Source organism: Homo sapiens, chromosome 5, assembly GCF_000001405.40.
Source record: "Homo sapiens chromosome 5, GRCh38.p14 Primary Assembly".
NCBI lineage: Eukaryota > Metazoa > Chordata > Mammalia > Primates > Hominidae > Homo > Homo sapiens.
Window position 1 is genome coordinate 65,399,583 of NC_000005.10, and position 26,912 is coordinate 65,426,494.

Below are 26,912 nucleotides of genomic sequence, written 5' to 3' on the forward strand. Positions count from 1 at the left end.
CAAGTTCATTTTCAAATAAAACTATACTGCTTCATAGGTAGTGTAACTTATAATAATGAAATAATCCTAATTCCTTCCTCCTTTCCCTTGTGATATTAGTCATTTATTTCATTTATACATGAGCATATATAGATACAGATACATACATATGATACATAAGCACACATAATCAAATTGTTGCTATTATCATTTTTAACAAACTGTTATCTGTCTGATAGATCAATAATAGTAAAATTGAAGTTTTAATTTTACCTTCACTAATTCCTTCAATGATGCTCTTCAATTATTTACATAGATCCAAGTTTCTCATCTATATTATTTTTCTTCTATCTTTTAACATTTCTTGCAAGGCAGATCTATTGGTAATAAAATTTCCCAGTTTTTGTTCATCTGAGAAAGTCTTTATTTCCCCTTCACTTTTGAAGGATAATTTCACAGGGTACAGAATTCTAAGTTGGTGTTCTTTTCCTCAAACCTTTAAATGTTTCACTCCTCTCACTTCTTGCTTGCATAGTTTCTGTTGAGTAGTTAGATGTAGTTCCTACCTTTGTTCCTCTATAGGTAAGATTTTTTTTTCTCTGTCCTCTTTCAGAATTTTTTCTTCTTTTTAATTTTTAAACGTACATTTTAGTTTATTAGAGATAGGGTCTCACTCTGTGGTCCTGGCTGGCGTACAGTGTCATGATCATAGCTCACTGCAGCCTCAAATTCCTGAGCTCATGAGCTCAAGCAATCCTCCTACCTTTGCCTCCTGAATAGCTGGGACTATAGGTACACACTACTGCATATGGCTTTTTCGTTTTTTGTGTTGTTGTAGAAACCAGGGTGTTGCTTTGTTGCCCAGGCTGGTCTCTAACTCCTTGCTTCAAGCAAGCCTCTTGCATTGGCCTCTCAAAGTGTTGGAATTATAGGCATGAGCCACTGCAGCCAGCTAGGTTTTTTCTTATTCTGTGATTTTCTGTAATTTAAAAGCGACATGCCTAGGAATAGGTTTTCTATGGTTTGGTGTCTGACATTAATTTAGATAAATTCTCGGTCATTATTGTTTCAAATATTTCCATTCCTTTTTCTTTTTGCTTTCTGGTACTCTCATTGCACATGTATTACATCTTTGTAGTTTTCCCACAGCTCTTGGATGTTCTCTTCTTTTTCTTTTTCAGTCTTTGTTCTCTTAGTTTTTGAGATTTAGAGTCTTTTATTAATATATCCTCTAGCTCAGAAATTCTTTCCTCAGTCATGTCCAGTCTACTAATAAGCCCATCAAGGCATTCTTCATTTCCGTTACAGCGTTTTTGATCTCTAGCACTTTCTTTTCGGCTCTTTCTTAGAATTTCCATCTTTCTGCTTACAGTTCTCATCTGTGCTTGCATGCTGTTTACATTCTCCATTAACACTTTTAGCATATTAATCATAGTAGTAAATTCCATCTGATAATTCCACCATCTCAGCCATGTCTGCTTCTGATGCTTGCTCTGTCTCTTCAAACTGTGTTTTTTGCCTCTCAGTATGCCTTGTAATTTTTTCTTGACAGCCAGACATGATATACTGGGTAAAAGCAATAGCTGTAAATAGGCCTTTAGTAATGTGGTGATAAGGTGTGGGGAAAGGGGAAACATTCTATAGTCCTACAATTAGGTCTCAGCCTTTCAGTGCACCTATGCCTCTGAACTCTTGAACAAATATTTTCTAGTCTTTTTTCTCCCCTTTTAGGTGGGACAGGATGACTAGAGTTGAGTATTTCCATTCTCCCAGATCAGTTAGGCTCTGATCAAACCCCACAGATTAGGCTCTGGTTAGCTAGTTTCTCCTGAGGTCAGACCTTATTAAAAAGAACAGAGTGCTCTGGCAAATTCCCAGATAGATCCCTTTCCCCTTCTGCTGCTGGGAACACAAGGGAGTTTTTCTCCAATATTTACTGTGAGAACCTAGTCAAGCTCCTACAGGTACAATTCTCAAGTGTGAGGGTCCATTTAAAACTAGGTCCTCCTGGAGTTTTTAACTCTTACACTTGTCCACACAGAGCCTCCAGAAATTTGTCAATTACAGGTCAGGTTTTCCTATCCCAGCACTGGTTTCCATGGAGGTTTCTGCTCTGATATGTTGTGATTCTCTGTATTTGTCTGTCACTCCAATTTTGGGAGACACTGTTTGTCCTGTGATCTCACTTCTCTTATAGATGTAAGAAGAGTTGTTGATTTTTCAGTTTGTTCAGATTTTTGTGTACTGTTAGGATAGAGTGGCAACTTCAAAGCTCCTTACCTGTAGAAACTGAAATTCTTTGATTTTCTCACTTTTTCCTTCTTCAATCCCTCCTTCTTTCTTTCCCTCCCTTACTGTCTCCACTACCACATGTCGTAACTCTCAATGATTTCAATACCAACTTAAATCATCCTAATACACTGGCCTCTCATTTATTTAACATTGTTATTTCCAGTGGTTGTTTCCTCCTTCTGCCTTAGCTATCTACTTCCGTAATCATATCCAAGACCTTGTCATTACTAATTTCAAGCATTGCACTCTCTACCATCGCTCATCTTCCAAGTTTACCACTTTTCACTGTTCCTCACCGTCTTCACATAATTTTTTTCTCTCTTTACCTGGCTTACACTCCATGGTTAGTCATTCTTACCACCTTCTTGCATCTACTCCTATGTCTCTTTCTCTTCTCTCTCTCCAATGAACTCACTTGCGAAAACATATATCCTAGGGAAATCCAAATCTCTACCTATCCTGCACTTCTACCCAACCAGATGAATGTGACTGAAGACAAAATATAACCATGCTGACTGATTTCACTTTAAAATCAACAAGTGACCTCAAGTAAGACCTTAGCAATACCCAACAATGCTACTACATTTCACTAGGGACTTTCTCCTACTTTCATCAATGATTACTTCATACTTCTTCTCTCTCCTCAAATCTATAACATCACCTTCTTATTATTTACTCTCAGCTAATGACTGCTTTCTATTTCACTGAGAAAATAGAAACAACCAGAAGGAAACTTCCAGATGCTCACACACCAAATCTGACCAATTATATTTTGATGCACATACTCCGCCCTCCTTGCTATCACAATGAATAAATGTCCAGGCTCCTATCCAAGGACACCCCCCCCCATATTTGGCGCTGGATCCCTTCCCTTTAAGTCTTCTTAAGGACACTGTTACTACTGTTTTCCCCCGTCTCTCCTACATCATCAATTTTGGTCTAGCTTTAATAATTCTCACTATCATACAATATATGATCCTAAAAAGCAAAACAAGATGAAATGAAAAAACTTCATGAACTCCATGGACTCTTCAGCCTGACTTCTATGGTCTGCTTTATGACAAAACCCATTGAATAAGTTGTGTATATGCAATGTCTTTACTTCCTTTTCTTCCTTTTTTTTTCATAAACCCATTCCAGTCAATCTTTCTGCTTACCCCTCTGTTAAAATAACTTTTCAAAGTCATCAATAGCTCCATCCCTCCTAATACAATAATGAATTTTAAGGCCTCATTTTACTCAAACTATCACAGTCATCTGATATAGATGATGATGCTTTCCTCCTTGAAACAATTTTTTCACTTGTCTTTCAGAGCAACACTTTCTCGTGATTCTCTTTCTATCTAACTAGCTGCTTTTTCTGTCTGCTTTCTTGATTTTCCCTCTTCTCTCTAATCTTTAAACACTGAAGGAATCCAGACTCCACCTTTGAAACACTTCTTTTCTGAACATACATTTACTTCCTGTATGATCTCATCTAGTCTAATGGCTTTGAATACTATCTATATAATTATGTCTCCCAAAATTTTAACTCCGTTTCTATCTTCCCTTCTGAAATCCAGGCTCATCAACAAGCATCTTAAAATTAGCAAGATCATGATCAAGAATTCTCGATCTTCCCCTATAAACCTGTTCCTCCAGCATGTTTTCCCCTATCTTGTAAGAAGCAATTCCATTCAAATAATTGGCGAGTCTAAAACTTTCACATTTTCATTTATTCCTCTTTCTCTCATACTCTTATACAATAAATTTTGAAAAATCTGTTGGCATTCTATTCCAAGTACATATTTAGAATGAGACAACTAGTTACCATGTAAAATAGCAAGAAAACAAGTTACCATGTAAAATAGCAAGACATCAAGTTACCACGTAAAAAAGTTACATGTAAAATAGCAATTCCCACACACATATACAAATAATATAACTCTCTAGACTCCATTATCTTCATGGATTTATCACTACGTACCTTATTCCATATTTCTTTATCTTTCTTTTCACCTGTGTCCCCTAGTAAAATGTAACCTCTTCAGAAGAGAACAAGAATCTTGTATGTTCACTCCTATATTTCAGTGCATAGAATGCACAGAAAAAAAAGAGTGCCTGATACAAATGAATAACTTCATGAATATTATACTTTCTCCCAATATAAAATCAATGCTTAAGAATCTTTGCCCAAGTTGGCAATGAAATCCAGAGATTATATACCAAATCCTGAAAAAACTCCAATAAACCATGACAAAATTTTAGTATTGTATATCATTAATGCATTAATGAATTAAGAAAATATAATTCACTTAGTTTTTTTTTTATACTTTAAGTTCTAGGGTACATGTGCACAACATGCAGGTTTGTTACATATGTATACAAATGCCATGTTGGTGTGCTGCACCAATCAACTCGTCATTTACATTAGGTATTTCCGCTAATGTTATCCCTGCTCCCTGCCCCTACCCCATGACAGGCCCTGGTGTGTTATATTCCCCATCCTGTGTCCAAGTGTTCTCATGGTTCAATTGCCACCTATGAGTGAGAACATATGGTGTTTGGTCTTCTGTCCTTGCAATAGTTTGCTGAGAATGATGGTTTCCAGCTTCATCCATGTCCCTACAAAGGATATGAACTCATCCTTTTTTATGGCTGCATAATATTCCATGGTGTGTATGTGCCACATTTTCTTAATCCAGTCTATCATTGATGGACATTTGGGTTGGTTCCAAGTCTTTGCTATTGTGAATAATGCCACAATAAACATACATGTGCATGTGTCTTTATAGCAGCATGATTTATAATCCTTTGGGTATATACCCAGTAATGGGATGGCTGGGTCAAATGGTATTTCTAGTCCTAGATCCTTGAGGAATCACCACACTGCCTTCCACAATGGTTGAACTAGTTTACAGTCCCACCAACAGTGTAAAGTGTTCCTATTTCTCCACATCCTCTCCAGCACCTGTTGTTTCCTGACTTTTTAATGATCGCCATTCTAACTGGTGTGAGATGGTATCTCATTGTGGTTTTGATTTGCATTTCTCTGATGGCCAGTGATGATGAGCATTTTTTCACGTGTCTGTTGGCTGCATAAATGTCTTCTTTTGAGAAGTGTCTGTTCATATCCTTTGCCCACTTTTTGATGGGGTTGTTTGTTTTCTTCTTGTAAATTTGTTTGAGTTCATTGTAGATTCTGGATATTAGACCTTTGTCAGATGAGTAGATTGCAAAAATTTTCTCCCATTCTGTAGGCTGCCTGTTCACTCTGATGGTAGTTTCTTTTGCTGTGCAGAAGCTCTTTAGTTTAATTAGATCCCAATTGTCAATTTTGGCTTTTGTTGCCATTGCTTTAGGTGTTTTAGACATGAAGTCCTTGCCTATGCCTATATCCTGAATGGTACTGCCTAGGTTTTCTTCTAGGGTTTTTATGGATTTAGATCTAACATTTCAGTCTTTAATCCATTTTGAATTAATTTTTATATAAGGTGTAAGGAAGGGATCCAGTTTCAGCTTTCTACATATGGCTAGCCAGTTTTCCCAGCACCATTTACTAAATAGGGAATCCTTTCCCCATTGCTTGTTTCTGTCAGGTTTGTCAAAGATCAGATGGTTGTAGATGTGTGGTATTATTTCTAAGGGCTCTGTTCTGTTCCATTGATCTATATCTCTGTTTTGGTACCAGTACCATGCTGTGTTGGTTACTGTAGCCTTGTAGTATAGTTTGAAGTCAGGTAGTGTGATGCCTCCAGCTTTGTTCTTTTGGCTTAGGATTGACTTGGCAATGTGGGCTCTTTTTTGGTTCCATATGAACTTTAAAGTAGTTTTTTCCAATTCTTTGAAGAAAGTCATTGGTAGCTTGATGGGGATGGCATTGAATCTATAAATTATCTTAGGCACTATGGCCATTTTCACGATATTGGCTCTTCCTATCCATGAGCATGGAATGTTCTTCCATTTGTTCGTGTCCTCTTTTATTTCACTGAGCAGTGGTTTGTAGTACTCCTTGAAGAGGTCGTTCACATCCCTTGTAAGTTGGATTCCTAGGTATTTTCTTCTCTCTGAAGCAATTGTGAATGGGAGTTCACTCATGATTTGGCTCTGTGTTAGTCTGTTATTGGTGTATAAGAATGCTTGTGATTTTTACACATTGATTTTGTATCCTGAGACTTTGCTGAAGTTGCTTATTAGCTTAAGGAGATTTTGGGCTGAGACGATGGGGTTTTCTAAATATACAATCATGTCATCTGCAAAAAGGGACAATTTGACTTCCTCTTTTCCTAATTGAATACCCTTTATTTCTTTCTCCTGCCTAATTGCCCTGGCCAGAGCTTCCAACACTATGTTAAATAGGAGTGGTGAGAGAGGGCATCCTTGTCTTGCACCAGTTTTCCAAGGGAATGCTTCCAGTTTTTGCCCATTCAGTATGATATTGGCTGTGGGTTTGTCATAAATAGCTCTTATTATTTTGAGATATGTTCCATCAATACGTAATTTATTCAGAGTTTTTAGCATGAAGGGGTGTTGAATTTTGTCAAAGGCCTTTTCGGCATCTATTGAGATAATCATGTGGTTTTTGTCTTTGGTTCTGTTTATATGATGGATTACGTTTATTGATTTGCGTATGTTAAACAAGCCTTGCATCCCAGGGATGAAGCCCACTTGATCATGGTGGATAAGCTTTTTGATGTGCTGCTGGATTCCGTTTGCCAGTATTTTATTGAGGATTTTTGCATTGATGTTCATCAGGGATATTGGTCTAAAATTCTCTTTTTTTGTTGTGTATTTGCCAGGCTTTGGTATCACGATGATACTGGCCTCATAAAATGAGTTGGGAGGATTGCTTCTTTTCCTGTTGATTGGAATAGTGTCAGAAGGAATGGTACCAGCTCCTCCTTGTACCTCTGGTTAGAATTCAGTATAATATTGGCTGTGGGTTTGTCATAAATAGCTCTTATTATTTTGAGATACGTCCCATCAATACCTAGTTTATTGAGAGTTTTTAGCATGAAGGGCTGTTGAATTTTGTCGAAGATCTTTTCTGCATCTATTGAAGATCACATGAATGAAATGAAGCGAGAAGAGAAGTTTAGAGAAAAAAGAGTAAAAAGAAACAGACAAAGCCTCCAAGAAATATGGGACTATGTGAAAAGACCAAATCTACGTCTGCTTGGTGTACCTGAAAGTGACAGGGAGAATGGAACCAAGTTGGAAAATACTCTTCAGGATATTATCCAGGAGAACCAGCCCAACCTAGCAAGGCAAGCCAACATTCAAATTCAGGAAATACAGAGAATGCCACAAAGATACTCCTTAAGAAGAGCAACTCCAAGACACAAAATTGTCAGATTCACCAAAGTTGAAATGAAGGAAAAAATGTTAAGGGCAGCCAGAGAGAAAGGTCGGGTTACCCACAAAGGGAAGCCCATCAGACTAACAGCAGATCTCTCGGCAGAAACTCTAAAAGCCAGAAGAGAGTGGGGGGCCAATATTCAATGTTCTTTTTTTTTTTATTATACTTTAAGTTTTAGGGTACATGTGCACAACGTGCAGGTTCGTTACATATGTATACATGTGCCATGTTGGTGTGCTGCACCCATTAACTCGTCATTTAGCATTAGGTATATCTCCTAATGCTATCCCTCCTCCCTCCCCCCACCCCACAACAGTCCCCGGTGTGTGATGTTCCCCTTCCTGTGTCCATGTGTTCTCATTGTCCAATTCCCACCTATGAGTGAGAACATGCGGTGTTTGGTTTTTTGTCCTTGCAATAGTTTGCTGAGAATGATGGTTTCCAGCTTCATCCATGTCCCTACAAAGGACATGAACTCATCATTTTTTATGGCTGCACAGTATTCCATGGTGTATATATGCCACATTTTCTCAATCCAGTCTATCATCATTACTGGGTATATACCCAAAGGATTATAAATCATGCTGCTATAAAGACACATGCACACGTATGTTTATTGCGGCACTATTCACAATAGCAAAGACTTGGAATCAACATTATTAAAGAAAAGAATTTTCAAACCAGAATTTCATATCCAGCCAAACTAAGCTTCATAAGTGAAGGAGAAATAAAATCCTTTACAGACAAGCAAATGCTGAGAGATTTTGTCACCACCAGGCCTGCCTTACAAGGGCTTCTGAAAGAAGCACTAAACATGGAAAGGAACAACTGGTACCAGCCACTGAAAAATCATGCCAAAATTGTAAAGACCATCGATGCTAGGAAGAAACTACATAAACTAATGGGCAAAATAACCAGCTAACATCATAATGACAGGATCAAATTCACACATAACAATATTAACCTTAAATGTAAATGGGCTAAATGCTCCAATTAAAAGACACAGACTGGCAAATTGGATAAAGAGTCAAAACCCATCAGTGTGCTGTATTCAGGAAACCCATGTTACGTGCAGAGACACACATAGGCTCAAAATAAAGGGATGGAGGAAGATCTACCAAGCAAATGGAAAACAAAAAAAAGCAGGGGTTGCAATCCTAGTCTCTGATAAAACAGACTTTAAACCAACAAAGATCAAAAGAGACAAAGAAGGCCATCACATAATGGTAAAGGGATCAATTCAACAAGAAGAGCTAACTATCTTAAATATATATGCACCCAATACAGGAACACCCAGATTCATAAAGCAAGTCCTTAGAGCCATACAAAGAGACTTAGACTCCCATACAATAATAATGGGAGACTTTAACACCCCACTGTCAACATTAGACAGATCAACAAGACAGAAAGTTAACAGAGATATCCAGGACTTGAACTCAGCTCTGCACCAAGCAGACCTAATAGACATCTACAGAACTCTCCACCCCAAATCAACAGAAGATACATTCTTCTCAGCAACATATCGCACTTATTCCAAAATTGACCACATAGTTGGAAGTAAAGCATTCCTCAGCAAATGAAAAAGAACAGAAATTATAACAAACTGTCTCTCAGACCACAGTGCAATCAAACTAGAACTCAGGATTAAGAAACTCACTCCAAACTGCTCAACTACATGGAAACTGAACAACCTGCTCCTGAATGACTACTGGGTACATAACGAAATGAAGGCAGAAATAAAGATGTTCTTTGAAACCAATGAGAACAAAGACACAACATACCAGAATCTCTGGGAGACATTTAAAGCAGTGTGTAGAGGGAAATTTATAGCACTAAATGCCCACAAGAGAAAGCAGGAAAGATCTAAAATGGACACCCTAACATCACGATTAAAAGAACTAGAGAAGCAAGAGCAAACACATTCAAAAGCTAGCAGAAGGCAAGAAATAACTAAGATCAGAGCAGAACTGAAGGAGACAGAGACATAAAAAACCCTTCAAAAAATCAATGAATTCAGGAGCTGGTTTTTTTAAAAGATCAACAAAACTGATAGACCGCTAGCAAGACTAATAAAGCAGAAAACAGAGAAGAATCAAATAGACGCAATAAAAAATGATAAAGGGGATATCACCACTGATCCCACAGAAATACACTACCATCAGAGAATACTATAAACACCTCTATGCAAATAAACTAGAAAATCTAGAAGAAATCGATAAATTCCTGGACACATACACCCTCCCAAGACTAAATCAGGAAGAAGTTGAATCCCTGAATAGACCAATAACAGGCTCTGAAATTGAGGCAATAATTAATAGCCTACCAACCAAAAAAAGTCCAGGACCAGACAGATTCACAGCCGAATTCTACCAGAGGTACAAGGAGGAGTTGGTACCATTCCTTCTGACAATATTCCAATCAGTAGAAAAAGAAGAAATCCTCCTAACTCATTTTATGAGGCCAGCATCATCCTGATACCAAAGCCTAGCAGAGACACAACAAAAAAAGAGAATTTTAGACCAATATCCCTGATGAACATCGATGCAAAAATCCTCAATAAAATACTGGCAAACTGAATCCAGCAGCACATCAAAAAGTTTATTCACCATGATCAAGTGGGCTTCATCCCTGGGATGCAAGGCTTGTTCAACATATGCAAATCAATAAACGTAATCCATCATATAAACAGAACCAAAGACAAAAACTACATGATTATCTCAATAGATGCAGACTTAGTTTTTTATCATATGCAATATAAGTTACATAAAAGGTTTGACCGCTATTAAAATCACATACTCTAGAAAGAAAAAACACAGTATTTGTAATTTCACAAAATTATTTCCAACTTCATTTGATTGAATTCATCATATTCTTTCCTAAAAACACTTGTGCTTGAGAGAAAAGAAGACGGGCAATACTGAGAGCAGAGAAAATGTGGGAAAACACATCAAAAAGAAAAGTTGGGACTTCCAATGACAAACTTAACTCATGTCACAAATGCTCAAGTACCAGAACTTGCAGATAACCAACTACGCAACAAAAGTCAATGTATTATGAAAAATAACATTTCTTCATGTATAAATTATTGTTAGATAGAAATTCAATCATGTTATACTTAACAGTTTACATTGAGCTACTCATAACTCAATCAGTTGAATAAATTATGGGTAAAAGTTACAGCCAACAAGAGTTAGCATTCTTTCTTTAATTGGCAAGTAAAAATTATATATATTTATAACATACAGCTTGATGTTTTGATATATGTATACATTATGGAACAGCTAAATCAAAATAATATATGCATTACCTCAAATATTTATTTTCCTATGGAAAGAACACTTAAAATCTACTCTCTTTTATACCATTGCAATTTTCAAGTATGCAATATATTAATATTATCATTAACTATAGCCACCATGATGTACAAGAGATCTCATGAATTTATTCCTCCAAATTGAAATTTTGTGTCCTATGATCAACATCTCCTAACCCCCACAACTTCTGGCAACCACCATTTTACTCTCTATTTCTATGACTTTGACTTTTTTATATATACTCTACATATAAGTGAGATCATGCAGTATTTGTCTTTCTATGCCTGGCTTCCTTAATACAATGTCCTCCGGGTTCATTCATGCCATCACAAATGACAGGACTTCCTTTTCTTTTAGGAACTCATTCTGTCACCCAGGCTAGAGGGCAGTGGTGCAATCATAGCTCACTGCAGTCTTGAGCTCCTGAGGTCAAGCAATCCTCCTGCTTCAGGCTCCTGAGTAGCTGGGAGCACAGCCGCACACCACCACGCTCAGCTAATTTTTTGCATTTTTTGTAGAAACGGGTCTTGCCATGTTTCCCAGGCTGGTCTTGAACTCATGGGCTCAAGTGATCCTCCCACCTCAGCCTCCCAAAGTGCTGAAATTACAGGTGTGAGCCACTGAGCCTGGCCTGCTTCTTTTTTAAGGGTAAATAGTGTTCTATTATGTGTATATATCATATTTTTAAAATCTATTTATCCATCGGTCAACAGTGAGTTTGATTTGCTGTGCTGCAGTGAACATGGGAGTGCACGTATCTCTTCAACATACTGATTTCATATCCTTTGGATATGTACCTAGCAGTGGGATTGCTGGAGCCTATGGCAGTTCTATTTTTTATTATTTGAGGAACCTTCATACTGTTTTCCATAGTGCCTATACAGCTTTCTTTCTCTTAATAAATTTTGAATAAAAAGTCTTTATTTAGAAGTGGAAAAGTTTAAGAGCCAAATTTCTATAAATGACTGTAATCCAATGGAATCCTATTATCTCCTTCATCAGCATTTTCCTCCTACTCCAGCTGTCTTCCATTTTTGTGTCAATCCTTCCCCATAGTCTATCTGGTCCCTGTATGTCTCAAACCGGAGTATGAGTGACGTGGGAGTTTGATAGGTTGTCACAGGTAGGGAAAAACATAAGTTAAAACATGCTGCATCTTCTTGCTGATTCAACTTTATTCAAAGATAAGTGTATAAAGGGAAGGAGGAAGAGAGAAAAACAATTTAGTCACTGAAAACATTTATATTAAATAATATTATGTAGTAACATTTAAATATAGGTCTTTGAAAAATTATGCCTTTGTAAAAGGCTGACACAAACTAAACTTCTAGAGTGCTCTTTAGTTCCCTTTACTATATCCTTAAGTATAAAGAAGTAGGGAATTAGAAATGCCATACTATGTATCCCATGAAGTCTTCTACCAAGTCAATTAGTCCCACTACAGTACTAATGTTAATAATAGCTATCATTTATTGAGTCATAATTTAAACCAGGCACCATTCTAAGACATTTACATGAATTATTTCATCTTCACAACCATTACCTAAGGTAGGTTATTATTATACTGTCCATTTTATGGGTAAAGAAATTTAAGTACAAAGTAAAGTAACTTGCCTCAATTTCACACAGTAAAGTGGCAAAATGCAAGAAAAGATCTTTAATGCTATAAATCCTTAATATGTGATATATCCTGGAAGAATATACATTTTTAAAATGAAAATGGGAATGTTAAATACTAAAAGCCCTTAAAAACCAAGAAATTAAATTGTAATAGTAGAATGACTAAGACTAATGCAAAGTCTCACCTGTTCATAGTTAGTCCTCGGAAGAGAGGATTAGGATTACAGCATTATATAGAAGTACTTTTTTAGTGAAAACACATACACACTTGCATACACACATACACACATGCACACAGGCACACAAACACACACACGCACACACACAATACTTGACCAAATACACATGATTTGATACCAAAACAATGCCCTTTAAGTATTTCTAAAGCAGTAATCGTATTACTCTTACCTTGACAGTGTATTATAAGCTATTTTCACATTCATAGGCACACATCACTGATAACATGTCACTACACAAAAAAATTTGGAGAAGATGGCATTTTGCATACATCTGCATTAGCAATAAAATGATCCATATAGGAAATATATGACAATTTGGTTATTAGAAAACTTTGGTCAAAAACAAAATGCTTATGCAAAATACATATTTGATATCAAATAACAACTAAAAACAAAATAAATGATGAAACTAAATTAAAAGTAATAATATAATTGAAAATTAGCAGTTGAAGTAATTGAAAACCATAACTAATTCAAATAATACTGATACCAGAGTTTTTTAATCCAATTATTTGTAGTTGAAAATGTTAATATTACTTTACAATTCTCTAATTATATGCACTTCATTACTCTTTGCTATACTATTTAATCTTATGAATATCAAGATTTAGCAATCCTCTATAGCTTGCTTAATAGTTTGCTAACAAACAGTTCCAACCTACGTATCAAAAATCAAAGTTCATGAAACTGCATTTACTTCTCTGTAACACCAAAGGAAGAACTTGTCTTTTTGATCAATTTCTAGCCTCTCAGAATGGCCTTATAAGACCTAGCAACAGGCCTCCATATCTTAAAGAATCACAGACTAAAACAGGCTCAGCGGGCCACCTTCTCACATGAAAATAGTTTCTGTAAAGGAACTCTGTGGTAAGCCTATGCTTTTCTAAATTTCTTTCCACTTTCAAGAAAGTGAATAAATGAAAACTTGGCATGATACCTACGCAAGATTGCAAACCTTAACATAAGCTGTCAATCACAGTTTTCCCAGGCAATTTTCTTCAGTAGGACAGTGTAATACTCAGATTTTCCAAAAACATTTCTCATAACAAACATGGCAGGGATTTTTTAAGGAAAATTCTTTTAATAATATTGTAAACATCTAATTGTAAAAAGATTCAATATTTAAAATATGACTTAAAATATAAGCAATATTATTAATCACTCCCAACTGGCCAATTAAATTATATAATGCAGCATTCCTCTCTATCCCTGAAGAATGCTTTTATCTAATGTCTGCCATTTCAAATCCCATCAAAAATTGCACTTGTAACCTGATGCCATAATGTTAACGTCATTTTACAATAAAAATATATATCCTGTTCTTACACATTTAGAGCAATTAAATTAATAAAATATAATGTACATTAATAAAATAAAATATACATGTTATATATTCACAGTGGTCACTGAAGATTGCTACTCTACTGGTGTTTTAGACTAAACTTACTCTGTCTCTAAACAATTATAATTTCCTTTTGCCCCCACTACACCAGAAATCTATTAACATAATTAAATCAACAGACATATACTAACTGCTAATGATGGGGTTCAGGACACATTGCTCCAAAATATGATCCTTTGGCATATTGAATATGTTAAACTGAACGAATCTGAGAAACAGCAGGCATGAAGTACTCTCTGACCACTCCCTTTTCCTAGGAAGGAAGTCATAAAACCCTCATGTACAAAGTGCCCTCCCTATATCCAGAGGAAAAAAGCATCCTTATCTCTGAAGAAAGAGGCGGGAATCCATGAGGAATCTGAATGAATAGGCCTTGCTAAGTTTTCCCCAGTTTACTACTACTCTTAGCTCATACCCCTTTGTCTATCACATTTTCTTACAACTTTCCATTCTTTATCAAACCTAGTATAAAAACACTCAGGCTTTTAAAATTATTTTTTATTATTTTCATTGTTTATTTTTTATTTACTTTTGTTATTTCTTTGTGTCTTCATTTCCTTATGAAGACTTCTGTGTGACATAAAACTTAAATAAATTTGTGTGCTTTTCACTTGTTAACATGTCTTATTCCATTTAATTTTCAGACTCAGCTGGGAACTCTAAGAAGGTCAAGGGAAAGATTTTGCCCCCCTACACTAAATGATGAAAACAAATAAAACTATGAACTTTATCTTAGGGAAAAAATGCTAATATATTTACATAAACAGCTATAATATTAGATGGAAAGTGACAAAAGTGCTGTAAGAAGGATATATATAAAGCCATATGAGAGGTAAGATCATTCTTGGTTTCTTGGCAATAAAGGAAAGAAGTTTTAAAGGAATTTCTGGGCATTTGAGCTAGAACATTAAAAAATATAATTTGGTAGTGATTTAGAATAGGGGAAGACTAGCTCAAGTACAGGAACACTTTTAAGTAACAGGACAAATTGTGAAAATGTGTTTTGTATACAGAAGGACAACAAGCACTCTTTGTCTCCATCTCACATCATATGCAAACGTTAATTCAAAACGAACCCAAAGACCTAAATGTAAGGGCTAAAACTACAAAAATCTTAGAAAAAAACATAGGAGTAAATCTTTATGACCTTGTATTAAGCAATGATTTCTGAGATATGACACTAAAGGCACAAGTAATGAAAGAAAAAAACAGGTAAATTGGAATTCATTGAAAATAAAACCTTTCACGCTTCAAAACACACTATCAACAAAGTTAAAAGTCAATATAGAGTATGAGGAAAAATATTTGCGAATCATATATGATAAGTCTAATATTCAAATTTATTTAAAAAACTATTACAAGTGAACAATAAAAAGGCAAATAACTCAATCAAGAAATGAGTAAAGGATCTTAATAGACATTTCTCCAAAGAAGATATACACATGGCCAATAAGCACATAAAAAGATCGTCAACATCATTAGTCATTTGTGAAAATCAAATAAAAACCACAGTAAAATACCACTTCGAACCCACTAGGATGGCTATAACAAAAAAGACACAATAACCTTCTCTGAGAAAATACCAAATGGCGGATGATGCCAGTGCAAGGGTGCATCCCGGGGGCCCAGGGATGGGAAACCGCAGTGGCTTCTGTGGAGGCTTCGGCAGTGGCATCTGAGGCCAAGGTCATGGCCATGGTCAGGGCCAGGGCTGAAGCCACGGAGCTCACAGAGGCAAGGCCTTGGACTAGGAGTGGATGCCTGTCACCAATCTGGGCCAGCTAGTCAAGGACATGAAGATGAAGTCCCTGGAGGAGATCTATCTCTTCTTCCTGCCCATCAAGGAGTCTGAGATCACTGATTTTTTTCGGGGGCTCTCTCAAGGATGAGGTTTTGAAGATTATGTCAGTGCAGAAGCAGACCTACGCTGGCCAGAACACCAGGTTCAAGGCATTTGTTGCCACTGGGGACTATAATGGCCAGGTAGGTCTGGGTGCTAAGTGCTCCAAGGAGGTGGCCACTGCCATACACGAGGCCATCATCCCAGCCAAGCTCTCCATTGTCCCTGTGTGCACAGGCTACTGGGGGAACAAGATCAGCAAGCCCCACACCATCCCTTGCAAGGTGACAGGCCACTGCAGCTCTGTGCTGGTGACCTCATCCCTGTGCCCAGGGGCACTGGGATCATCTCAGCCCCCATGCCCAAGAAGCTGCTGATGACGGCTGGTATCGATGACTGCTACACTTCAGCCAGGGGCTGCATGGCCACCCTGGGCAATTTCGCCAAGGCCAACTTCAATGACATCTCTAAGACCTACAGCCACCTGACCCCTGACCTCCGGAAGGAGACTGTATTCACCAAGTCTCCCTATCAGGAATTCACTGACCACCCCATCAAGACCCACTCCAGAGTCTCCATGCAGAGGACCCAGGCTCCAGCTGTGACTACAATGTAGGGTTTATACAAGAAAAATAAAGTAAATCAAGCCTGTTTTTGTTTTTGTTTTTTTTAAAGACACAATAACAAGTGTTGGTGATGATGTGAAGAAACTGGAACACTTAGACACTGAAGATGGAAATGTAAAATAATGCAGTCACTTTGGAAAATAATTTTTAAGTTCTTCAAAAGGTTAAACATAGAATCACCATATGACCCAGCACTTCCATTCCTAAGTATATATCCATGAGAATTGAAAATATATGTCCACACAAAAACTTGTATGACTATTAATAGCAGCATTATTCATAATGGCCCAAAGGAGGCATCAATCCAAAAATCTGTCAAGGGATGAAGGAATAACTAACATGTGGTATATCCCCAAAAATTAGCCAGGCATGGCAGCAGGCACCTGTAATCTCAGCCTGGTGGGAGGCTGTGGCAAGAGAATCACTTGAGCCCAGGAGGCGGAGGTTGCAGTGAGCGGAGATCACAGAGCTCACACCACTGCACTCCAGCCTGGGCAACAGAGCAAGACTCCATTTAAAAAAAAAAAAAAAAACCAACAACAACAACAAAATAAAATAAAATAAAATAATATAAAATGTGGTATATCCCAATTCTACTGAAATTATTCCAAAAACTCAAGGAGGAGGGACTCCTCCCTAACTCTACAAAGCCAGCATCACTGTAATACCAAAACCTGGTAAAGAAACAACAAAAAAAGAAAACTACAGACCAATATCCCTGATTAACACAGGAGCAAAAATCCTCAACAAAATACTAGAAAACTGAATTCAACAGCATAACAAAAAGTTAATTCACCATGATAAAGGAGGTTTTGTTCTTGGGATGCAAGGTTGGTTCAACATACACAAATCAATAAATGTGATTCACCACATAAACAGAATTAAAAACAAAAACCATATGATTATCTCAATAGACACAGAAAAAGCTTTCTATAAAATCCAACATCCCTTTATGACAAAAACCTTCAGAAAACTAGGCATTGAAGGAATAAATCTCAAAATAATAAGAGCCATCTATGACAAACCCACAGCCAACATCACACTGAATGGGCAAACACTGGAAGCATTCCCCTTGAGAACTGGAATAAGACAAGGATGACCACTCTCACCATTCCTATTCAACATAGTATTGGAAGAGCTAGCCAGAGCAATCAGGCAAGAAAAATAAATAAAAGGCATCCAAATAGCAAAAGAAGAAGGCAAACTATCTCTGCGCATAGGATGATATAATCCTATATTTAGAAAACTCTGAAGACTGCCAAAAGGTTTCTGGAACCGATAAACAATTTCAGTAAAGTTTCAGGATACAAAATCAATATACAAAAACCCCTAGCATTTTTAGACACCAATAACATTCAAGCTGAGAGCCAAATCAACAATGCAATCCCACTTACAATAGCCACATGCACAAAAATAAAATACCTAGGAATACATCTAAACAAGGAGGTAAAAGATCTTTACAAGGACAATTATAAAACACCATTAAATAAATCATAGATGACACAAATGGGAAATATTCCATAATCATAAATTGGAAGAATCAATATTCTTAAAATGGCCATACTGCCCAAAGCAATCTATGGATTCAATGCTATTCCTATCAAACTACCAATGTCATTTTTCACAGAACTAGAAAAAACTATTCTAAAATTCATATGGATCCAAAAAGGGCCCAAATAGCCAAAGCAATGCTAAGCAAAAAGAACAAAGCTGGAGTCATCACATTACCTGGCTTCAAACTATACTATAAGGCTACAGTAACCAAACAGTATGGTACTGGTACAGAAACACCTAGATCAATGGAATAGAATAGAGAACCTAGAAATAAAGCTGCACACCTACAACCACCTGATCGTCAACAAAATCAATGAAAATAAGCAATGGGAAAAGGACTCCCTATTCAATAAATGGTGCTAGGACAGCTGGCTAGCTATATTCAAAATGAAACTGGGCACCCACCTTTTACTATATATAAAAATTAACTCAAGATGGATTAAAATTTTAAATGTAAGACCTCAAATTATAAGAATCCTAGTAGAAAACCTGGGAAACACCATTCTGGACATTGGCCTTGGGAAGTAATTTATGACTAAGTCCTCAGAAGCAATTGCAACAAAAACAAAAATTGTCAGTTAGGACCTAGTTAAACTAATGAGCTTTCAAACAAACAGCAAAAAAAACTATCAACAGATTTAAAACACTCCTCTGCCAAATAGGGGCTTTTTCCCTATTGTTTACAGAGTCAGATGAATTAAAAGATGTGGAAATAGGCAGCTGTAGAACTTAATCTTCCAAGTACCCCATGTACATTTATTGAGCTTAATAATAATTGTCTGGGTTTTTTTTAAACGCAGTACAATAAATAATTTAATAACTTTAAAAAATGGGAGAATGGAAGAAAATATTTGCAAACTATGCATCCAAGACAGGTCTAATATCCAGAATCTACCAGGAACTTAAACAACTCAACAAGAAAATAAATAACAGCATTTTAAAATGGGCAAAAACATGAACAGACACTTCTCAAAAGAGGACATACAAGTGGCCAACAAACATATGAAAAAATGCTAAACATCACTAATCATCAGAAAAATGTAAATCAAAACCACAATGAAATACCATCTCACACTAGTCAGAATGGCTATTATTTAAAAAAACCAAAACAACAAATGCTGGCATGCTGTGGAGAAATGAGAATGCTTCTACTCTGCTGGTGGGAATGTAAATTTGTTCAGCCAGTGTGGAAAGCAGTTCGGAGATTTTTCAAAGAACTTGAAACCGAATTACCATTTGACCCAGCAATCCCACTTATAGGTATATATCCAAAAGAAAACAAACCTTTCTACCAAAAAGACACACGTAATCTCCTGTTCATCACCGCACTATTCACAATAGCAAAGACATGTTATCAACTAGGTGCCCATCAATGGGGACTGGATAAAGAAAATGTGGTAAATATACACTATGGGATACTACATGGCCATAACAAAAAAATAAAATCATGTCCTTTGCAGCAACATGAATGCAACTAGAGGTCAGTATCCTAAGCAAATTAATGCAGGAACACAAAACTAAACACCACATGTTCTCACTTATAGGTGGGAGCTAAATATTGGGTATTTATAGACATAAAGACGGCAACAATAGAAATTGAGAACTACTACAGGACAGAAGGAAGGAGGGGAGAAAGGGTTGAAAAACTAACTATTGGACACTATGTTCACTACTTGGGTGACAGAATCATTTGTACCCCAAACCTCAGCATCACACAATATACTCAGGCAACAAATCTGCACATGCAACTCCTGAATCTAAAATAAATATAGAAAAAATTTTAAAAAGAAAAATATTTTTGAATTAATGAATAAATCAATGAATAAAATAAAATGTGGTATATCCATACAATGGGATATTATTCAGGCATAAAAAGGGATGAAGTACTGATTTATGCTACCATATAAATGAATCTTGAAAACATTATGCTACAAGAAAGAGGTCAAACACAAAAGGCCACATATTGTGTGGTTCCATTTAAAGGAAATGTCCACAATATGCAAATTGATAGAGAAATAATGTAAATTAGTGGTTACCTAGGGCTGGAGAGAATGGAGAATGACAACAAATGGGCACAAGGTTTCTTTTTGGGGTAATGGAAATGTTCTGAAATTTAGATAGTGGTGATGGTTGTACATCTTTGCGAATATACTTACATTAGTCCATTCTCACATTGCTATAAGGAAATACCCAATACTGGGTAATTTATAACGGAAAGAGGTTTAATTGACTCAGAATTCAGCATGGCTGGGGAGGCCTCAGGAAACTTACAATCATGACAGAAGGTGAAGGGAAAGCAAGGTATCTTCTTCTCAAGGCAGCAGGAAGAAGTGCCAAGCAAAGGGTGAAAAGCCCCTTATACGTAATAAAACCATCAGATCTTGTGAGAACTTACTCACTATCATGAGAACAGTATGGGGGAAACCAACCCCATGATTCAATTACCTCCACCTGGTCTCTCCCTTGACACATGGGGATTATGGGGATTACAATTTAAGATGAGACTTGGTTGGGGACACAAAGCCTAACCATATCAATACTGAAACCACTGAATTGTACACTTTTGAAAGGTGAATTTTATGGTATATAAATTCGATCTGAATTTTTTTTTTCAGACGGAGTTTCACTCTTGTTGTCCAGGCTGGAGTACAATAGCACAATCTCAGCTCACCGCAACCTCCGCCCCCTGGGTTCAAGTGATTCTCCTGCCTCAGCCTCACGAGTAGCCTGGGTTACAGGCATGCATCACCACACTAGGCTAATTTTGTATTTTTAGTAGAGACGTGGTTTCTCCATGTTGGTCAGGCTGGTCTGAAACTCCCAACCTCAGGTGATCCATCTGCCTTGGCCTCCCAAAGTGCTGGGATTACAGGCGTGACCACTGCGCCCGGCCTCTGAATTTCTTAAAAAGGAAAAGAAAGAAAAAGGAATGCCCTTTGAAGACAATATAAAGTATTAGATGTAGCTGGAAAAAAAGCTAGAAAGGTAGACTTAGAGTCAAATGGTAAAGTATTTTTGAATTCTAGTCTAAAGTTTGAACATTGTTTAAAGGACAAAAGAGCATACTGACAATAATAGGAGGATGGATAATTATAGGAAGAAAAAAATCAATAGGCCATTTAAAGAAAAAAAAACATGTTCTACTCCTTTACCTCGAGTCTGTAAGAATTCTTACATGTTAAATGAGTCTCTTGAAAAAAGCAGATGTTTGCTTTGTGATTTTTAATCCAGTCTGCCAATGTGTGTATCTTTTAAGTGGAGCATTTAGAACATTTACATTCAATGTTAATATTGAGATATGAGGTACTGTATTAGTCACCACGTTGACTGTTATCAAGATACTTTGTTTTTTTCATTGTGTTATTTTAGAGTCTCTGTGAGTTTTATGCTTTCAAGAGGTTCCATTCTCTTGCATATCAACCTTTTGCTTCAAGATTTAGAACTCCTTTTAGTATTTCTTATATGTCTGATCTAATAGTGACAAATGCCCTCAGCATTTGCTTGTCTGAAAAAGACTTTATTTCTCCTTCATTTATGAAACTTAGTTTTGCTGGATACAAAATTCATGGCTGACAGTTACTCTATTTAATGAGGCTAAAGATAGGACCCCAATCCCTTCTGGCTTGCAAGGTTTCTGCTGAGAAGTCTGCTGTTAGTCTGATAGGTTTTCCTTTATAGGTTACCTTGATGCTTTGGTCTCACTGCTCTTAGAATTTTTTCCTTCACATTTACTTAAGATGGCTTGAATAAAGGCTCTTCAATAAACAAATCTGGAAGCATCATATTACCCAGCTTCAAATTATACTACAAGACTACAGTAACAAAAACAGCATGGTATTGGTATAAAAGTAGATATGTAGACCAATGGAACAGAATAGAGAACCCAGAAATAAAGCCAAATACTTAAAACCAACTGCTCTTCAACAAAGCATATGATAACATAAATGGTGCTTGGAAAACTGGATAGCCACGTGTAGAAGAATGAAACTGGATCCATATCTCTCACTACATAAAAAAATCAACTCAAGATGGATTGAAGACTTAAATCTAAGACTTGAAACTATAAAATTTCTAGAAGAAAACCTAGGAAAAACTCTTATGAAAATTGGCCTAGGCAAATAATTTATGAATAAGACCACAAAAGCTAATGCAACAAAAACAAAAATAAATAAATGGGACCTTGTTAAAAAGATTCTGCACAGCAAAAGAAGCAATTATCAGAGCAAACAGACAACCCACAAAGTGGGAGAAAATATTTGCAAACTGTGCATCCCACAAACAACTAATATCCAGAATCTACAAGGAACTCAAAACAAATCAGCAAGAAAAAAAAATCCCATTAAAAGGTGGGCAAATGACACGAATAGGTAGTTCTCAAAAGAAGATATACAAATGGCCAAAAAATATATGAAAAAACTGCTCAACATCACTAATCAACAGGAAATTGAAGATCAGCAAATTAAAATCACAATGAGATAACACTTTACCCCAGCCAGAATGGCCACTATTAACGAGTCAAGAAACAATAGAGGTTGGTGTGGGTGTGATGAAAAGGGAACACTTTGCCAGGCTTGGCGGCTCACGCCTGTAATCCCAGCACTTTGGGAGTCCAAGGCGGGCGGATCACGAGGTCAGGACCATCCTGGCCAACAGGGTGAAACCCTGTTGCTACTAAAAATACAAAAATTAGTTGGGTGTGGTGGCGCATGCCTGTAATCCCAGCTACTCAGGAGGCTAAGGCAGGAGAATCGCTTGAACCCAGGAGGCGGAGGTTGCAGTGAGCCAATATCATGCCACTGCACTCCAGCCTGGTGACAGAGCGAGACTACGTCTCAAAAAATAAAAATAAATAAAAAAATTAAAAAATTAAAAAAAAACAAGAAAAGGGAACACTTATACATTACTAGTGAGAATGTAAATTACTACAAACTCTATGGAAAGCAGTATGGAAATTTCTCAAATAACTAAAAATAAATTTATTATTTGATCCAGCAATCCCACTACTGGGTATCTACCCAAAGGAAAAGAAGTCATAATATCAAAAATACACCTGCATTCATATGCTTATTGCAGCACAATTCAGAATTGCAAAGATATGGAACAAGCCTAAGTTCTAAGTTCCCATCAAACGATGAATGGATTAAGAAAATGCGATATATACACATACACACACACACACACGCTGGAATACTATTCAGCCATAACAAAGAACAAAATAATGTCTTTTGCAGCAACCTGGATGGAGCTGGAGGCCATTGTTCTAAGTGAAGTAACTCAGGAGTGGAAAACCAAATACTGTATGTTCTGAATTATAAATGGGAGCTAAGCAATGGATATGCAAAGGCATACAAAGTGCTATAATGGATACTGGAGATTCAGAAGGGGGAAGGATAGGAGGAGGGTGAGGAATAAAGAAGTACATATTGGGTGCAATATACACTCTTCAGGTGGTGGGTGCACTAAAATCTCAGACTTCATCCCTATACAGTTCATCCATGTAACCAAAAACCACTTGTACTTCAAAAGCTATTGAAATAAAAGGTATATATAAATTTTAAAAATTCCTCTAAGTAAGTATCAAATAAATTGAGTGACTTACTGGACTAAGAATAAAGTTCAGCTTAGGTTCCCCAATTTTCATTAATAGTAATAAGGTAACAAAATTTGGATAAAACCCAACTAATGTAGTAGATGGTAACTTACTTAATATTAAAAACAATTATTCTATTCCCCTTTAATATCTATAATTTAGCATTTTAGATGTAAATCTTCAATACCATCAGCTGATAATCAATAGCAATTAACAGCAAAAGCCTGTGTAAAAGCTATTAAGATAAAATATTTTCTTCTTTTTTTTAATGCCAGTAAAACTAATCTCAAATTCATACTAGGATGAAAAACATTAAAGAATAAACAAAAGTATGACATGAATGTACTTGAAGTTATATTCTCTTTTTGGATTGCTGTCTAATTTTAATCACAAAATACAGAATGTAAACTATCAACACCATTTTGCCTACTATGCATTTTGCACTTTAATAGCTGCTACTTCAAAAAACAGAACTAAAAGCCCATTCTTTGGAACCATTTCACATTTTACAACTAAGAAGCAATACCAAGAATAAACAAATTCATATAACTCATCAATATGTATTGACTATTTATCTTAATTTTTTTCTTTCTTAAATATCACGATTAAAAAAAACATTGGCAGCATTTATAAGAACTAAGTAGTTATAAGTAGTTCACTAAGAATGACCTCATCACAGGTTTTAGCTGCAACAATATAAAACTAAAGAGGTCAAATTTATTCTCCAGGCTGCGACTACTTTTTCTTTTCTTTTTCCTTGAAGCATAGCTTACTTTGATTTTAACCCTTCCTCACCACCCCTCTTCCTCTAAGTGTAATCAAGCAAGGAAAATTCCACTTTGAAGTACGGATCATGAAAAGAGAACAAATCAAAGCTTTTCTGAAACCCTCTGTTCCCCAAAAGATCTACTACAGAACTCAAGAAGTAGGCAATTAAATGGACAGTTTTAGTTAGAAAATCAAACTTATATATAAAGATTAAGTGTGCTCAAACTCATCCACCTATCAACCAAATGTACTGTTTGTAAATTGGGACTTTAAAAAACTGTTTTATTGTATTGTCAATGGACATTGGAAAATAAGTACACAAAGTTAACAAAGTCTCTTGATCTTACTACATCAAGACTCTTGGAAGTAAATGGATTGTACCTTTAAAGGCTAAATGAGCATAGTTCGGGGTGGCGTCATTTCCATTACTGCTGCATTTCAGATTAAAGCTCTGAGAACATCTCACTAATGATCCTATGACAGTATATTCTGAAACATAGTAATGGATCAAAGAAGCATTAAAGTTGCATCTATAAGGCAAAAATGGTCTGTTTAGAAAAAAAAGTACACACAGACAAAAACCTCAATTCTATTTTAAAAATAATAAAACTTACCATTTCAATAAATTTAGCCATTGTTTCCTGATCTTATTTATCCTGGCTTTTTAATTATGTTGTTTTCCTTGATCAGTGGACTCTACATCAATTTCTAGGACCTAATTTTGATTATATTTCATTCTTAACAGCCTAGGACTTTGTCTTTTCCCTTTTGAATTTAATTCCGCTGTATAATTTTTTACTCCCTTGGTTTCAACTCTCCTTCTCCTAGTGATATACACAGATTTTTTGTTTGTTTGTTTTGTTTTTTTTGAGATGGAGTTTTGCTCTGGTCGCCCAGGCTGGAGTGCAATGGTGCAATCTCAGCTCACTGCAACCTCTACCTCCCAGGTTCAAGCGATTCTCCTGCTTCAACCTCCCAAGTAGCTGGGATTACAGGCGCACGGCACCATGTCCAGCTAATTTTTGTATTTTTAGTGTATTTAAAAATTTCGTATTTTCGTGTATTTAGAGACGGGGTTTTGCCACGTTGGCAAGGCTGGTCTTGAACTCCTGACCTCAGGTGATCCGCCAGCCTCAGCCTCCCAAACTGCTGGGATTACATGCGTGAGCCACTGTGCCCGGCCAATATATAAAGTTTTACTTTTTGAATGACAGACCTGCATTTTTTCCTACCTAATGGATTTTTCTATCCTAACATCCTACCATCACTCTCATATTCTGAAGCCAATAACCTCATCTTTTCCATACCTGTAAATGCAAGAAATCATTCTCATCCTACAAGTTGAAACCCAGTGTTATTTTTGACTACTCCCTCTTGGCTTTCACGTAGAATAGTCCAGACTTGTCTTTGTGATGTTCCTGCTTAACGTAAATTTCCCACTCTCAAATTCTACAGTATGGTATTTATGTCATACTTCCTAACTGGTCTTTCTGTCCTTGGTGCAATTTAGCCATTATTAGTTATACCTTCCTAGGACATTATTATCTTATTATTAAGAACAAATAAACTAAACCTAAAAGAAGAAAGACAAATGTATTGCATGACTTCAAGTAGTGCTGCTTCTTTTTTTTTTTTTTGAGACGGAGTCTCACTCTGTCCCCCAGGCTTGAGTGCAGTGGCGCGATGTCGGCTCACTGCAAGCTCCGCCTCCTGGGTTCACGCCATTCTCCTGCCTCAGCCTCCCGAGTAGCTGGGACTACAGGCGCCCACCACCGCGCCTGGCTAATTTTTTGTATTTTTAGTAGAGACGGGATTTCACCATGGTCTCGATCTCCTGACCTCGTGATCCGCCCGCCTCGGCCTCCCAAAGTGCTGGGATTACAGGCGTGAGCCACCGCACACAGACTTTTTTTTTTTTTGAGACTGAGTTTCGCTCTTGTCTCCCAGGCTAGAGTGCAATGGTGCAATCTTGGCTCACTGCAACTTCCGCCTCCCAAGTTCAAGCAATTCTCCTGCCTCGGCCTCCCAAGTAGCTGGGATTACAGGCACCTGCCACCATGCCTGGCTAATTTTTTTTTTTTTTTTTTAATTTTTAGTAGAGACAGGATTTTGCCATGTTGGCCAGGCTGGTCTCGAACTCCTGACCTCAGGTGATCCACCCACCTTGGCCTCCCAAAGTGCTGGGATTACAGGTGTGAGCCATGGTGCCTGGACTAAGTTGTGCTTCTAAATTAGCCTACTTTTATCACTTCTCAGCCTTTTGGCTAAAATCAAGTTTAGATTTATCTTCTTTTTATTTTACATAGGGGAACTGGACACTTGGGGGAAAAAATGAAAGTAAAAGCAAAAT

The 26,912-nt window shown here is 36.8% G+C and overlaps 1 protein-coding gene and 1 pseudogene across 12 annotated transcripts in view; one reads left to right on the forward strand and one right to left on the reverse strand.

Annotated features, from left to right (window-relative positions):
* Positions 1–26,912, reverse strand: part of ADAMTS6 (ADAM metallopeptidase with thrombospondin type 1 motif 6) — a 333,183-nt gene that overhangs the window by 250,845 nt on the left and 55,426 nt on the right. The gene's annotated exons all lie outside the window — the stretch shown is intronic.
* Positions 15,751–16,677, forward strand: RPS2P23 (ribosomal protein S2 pseudogene 23; annotated as a pseudogene).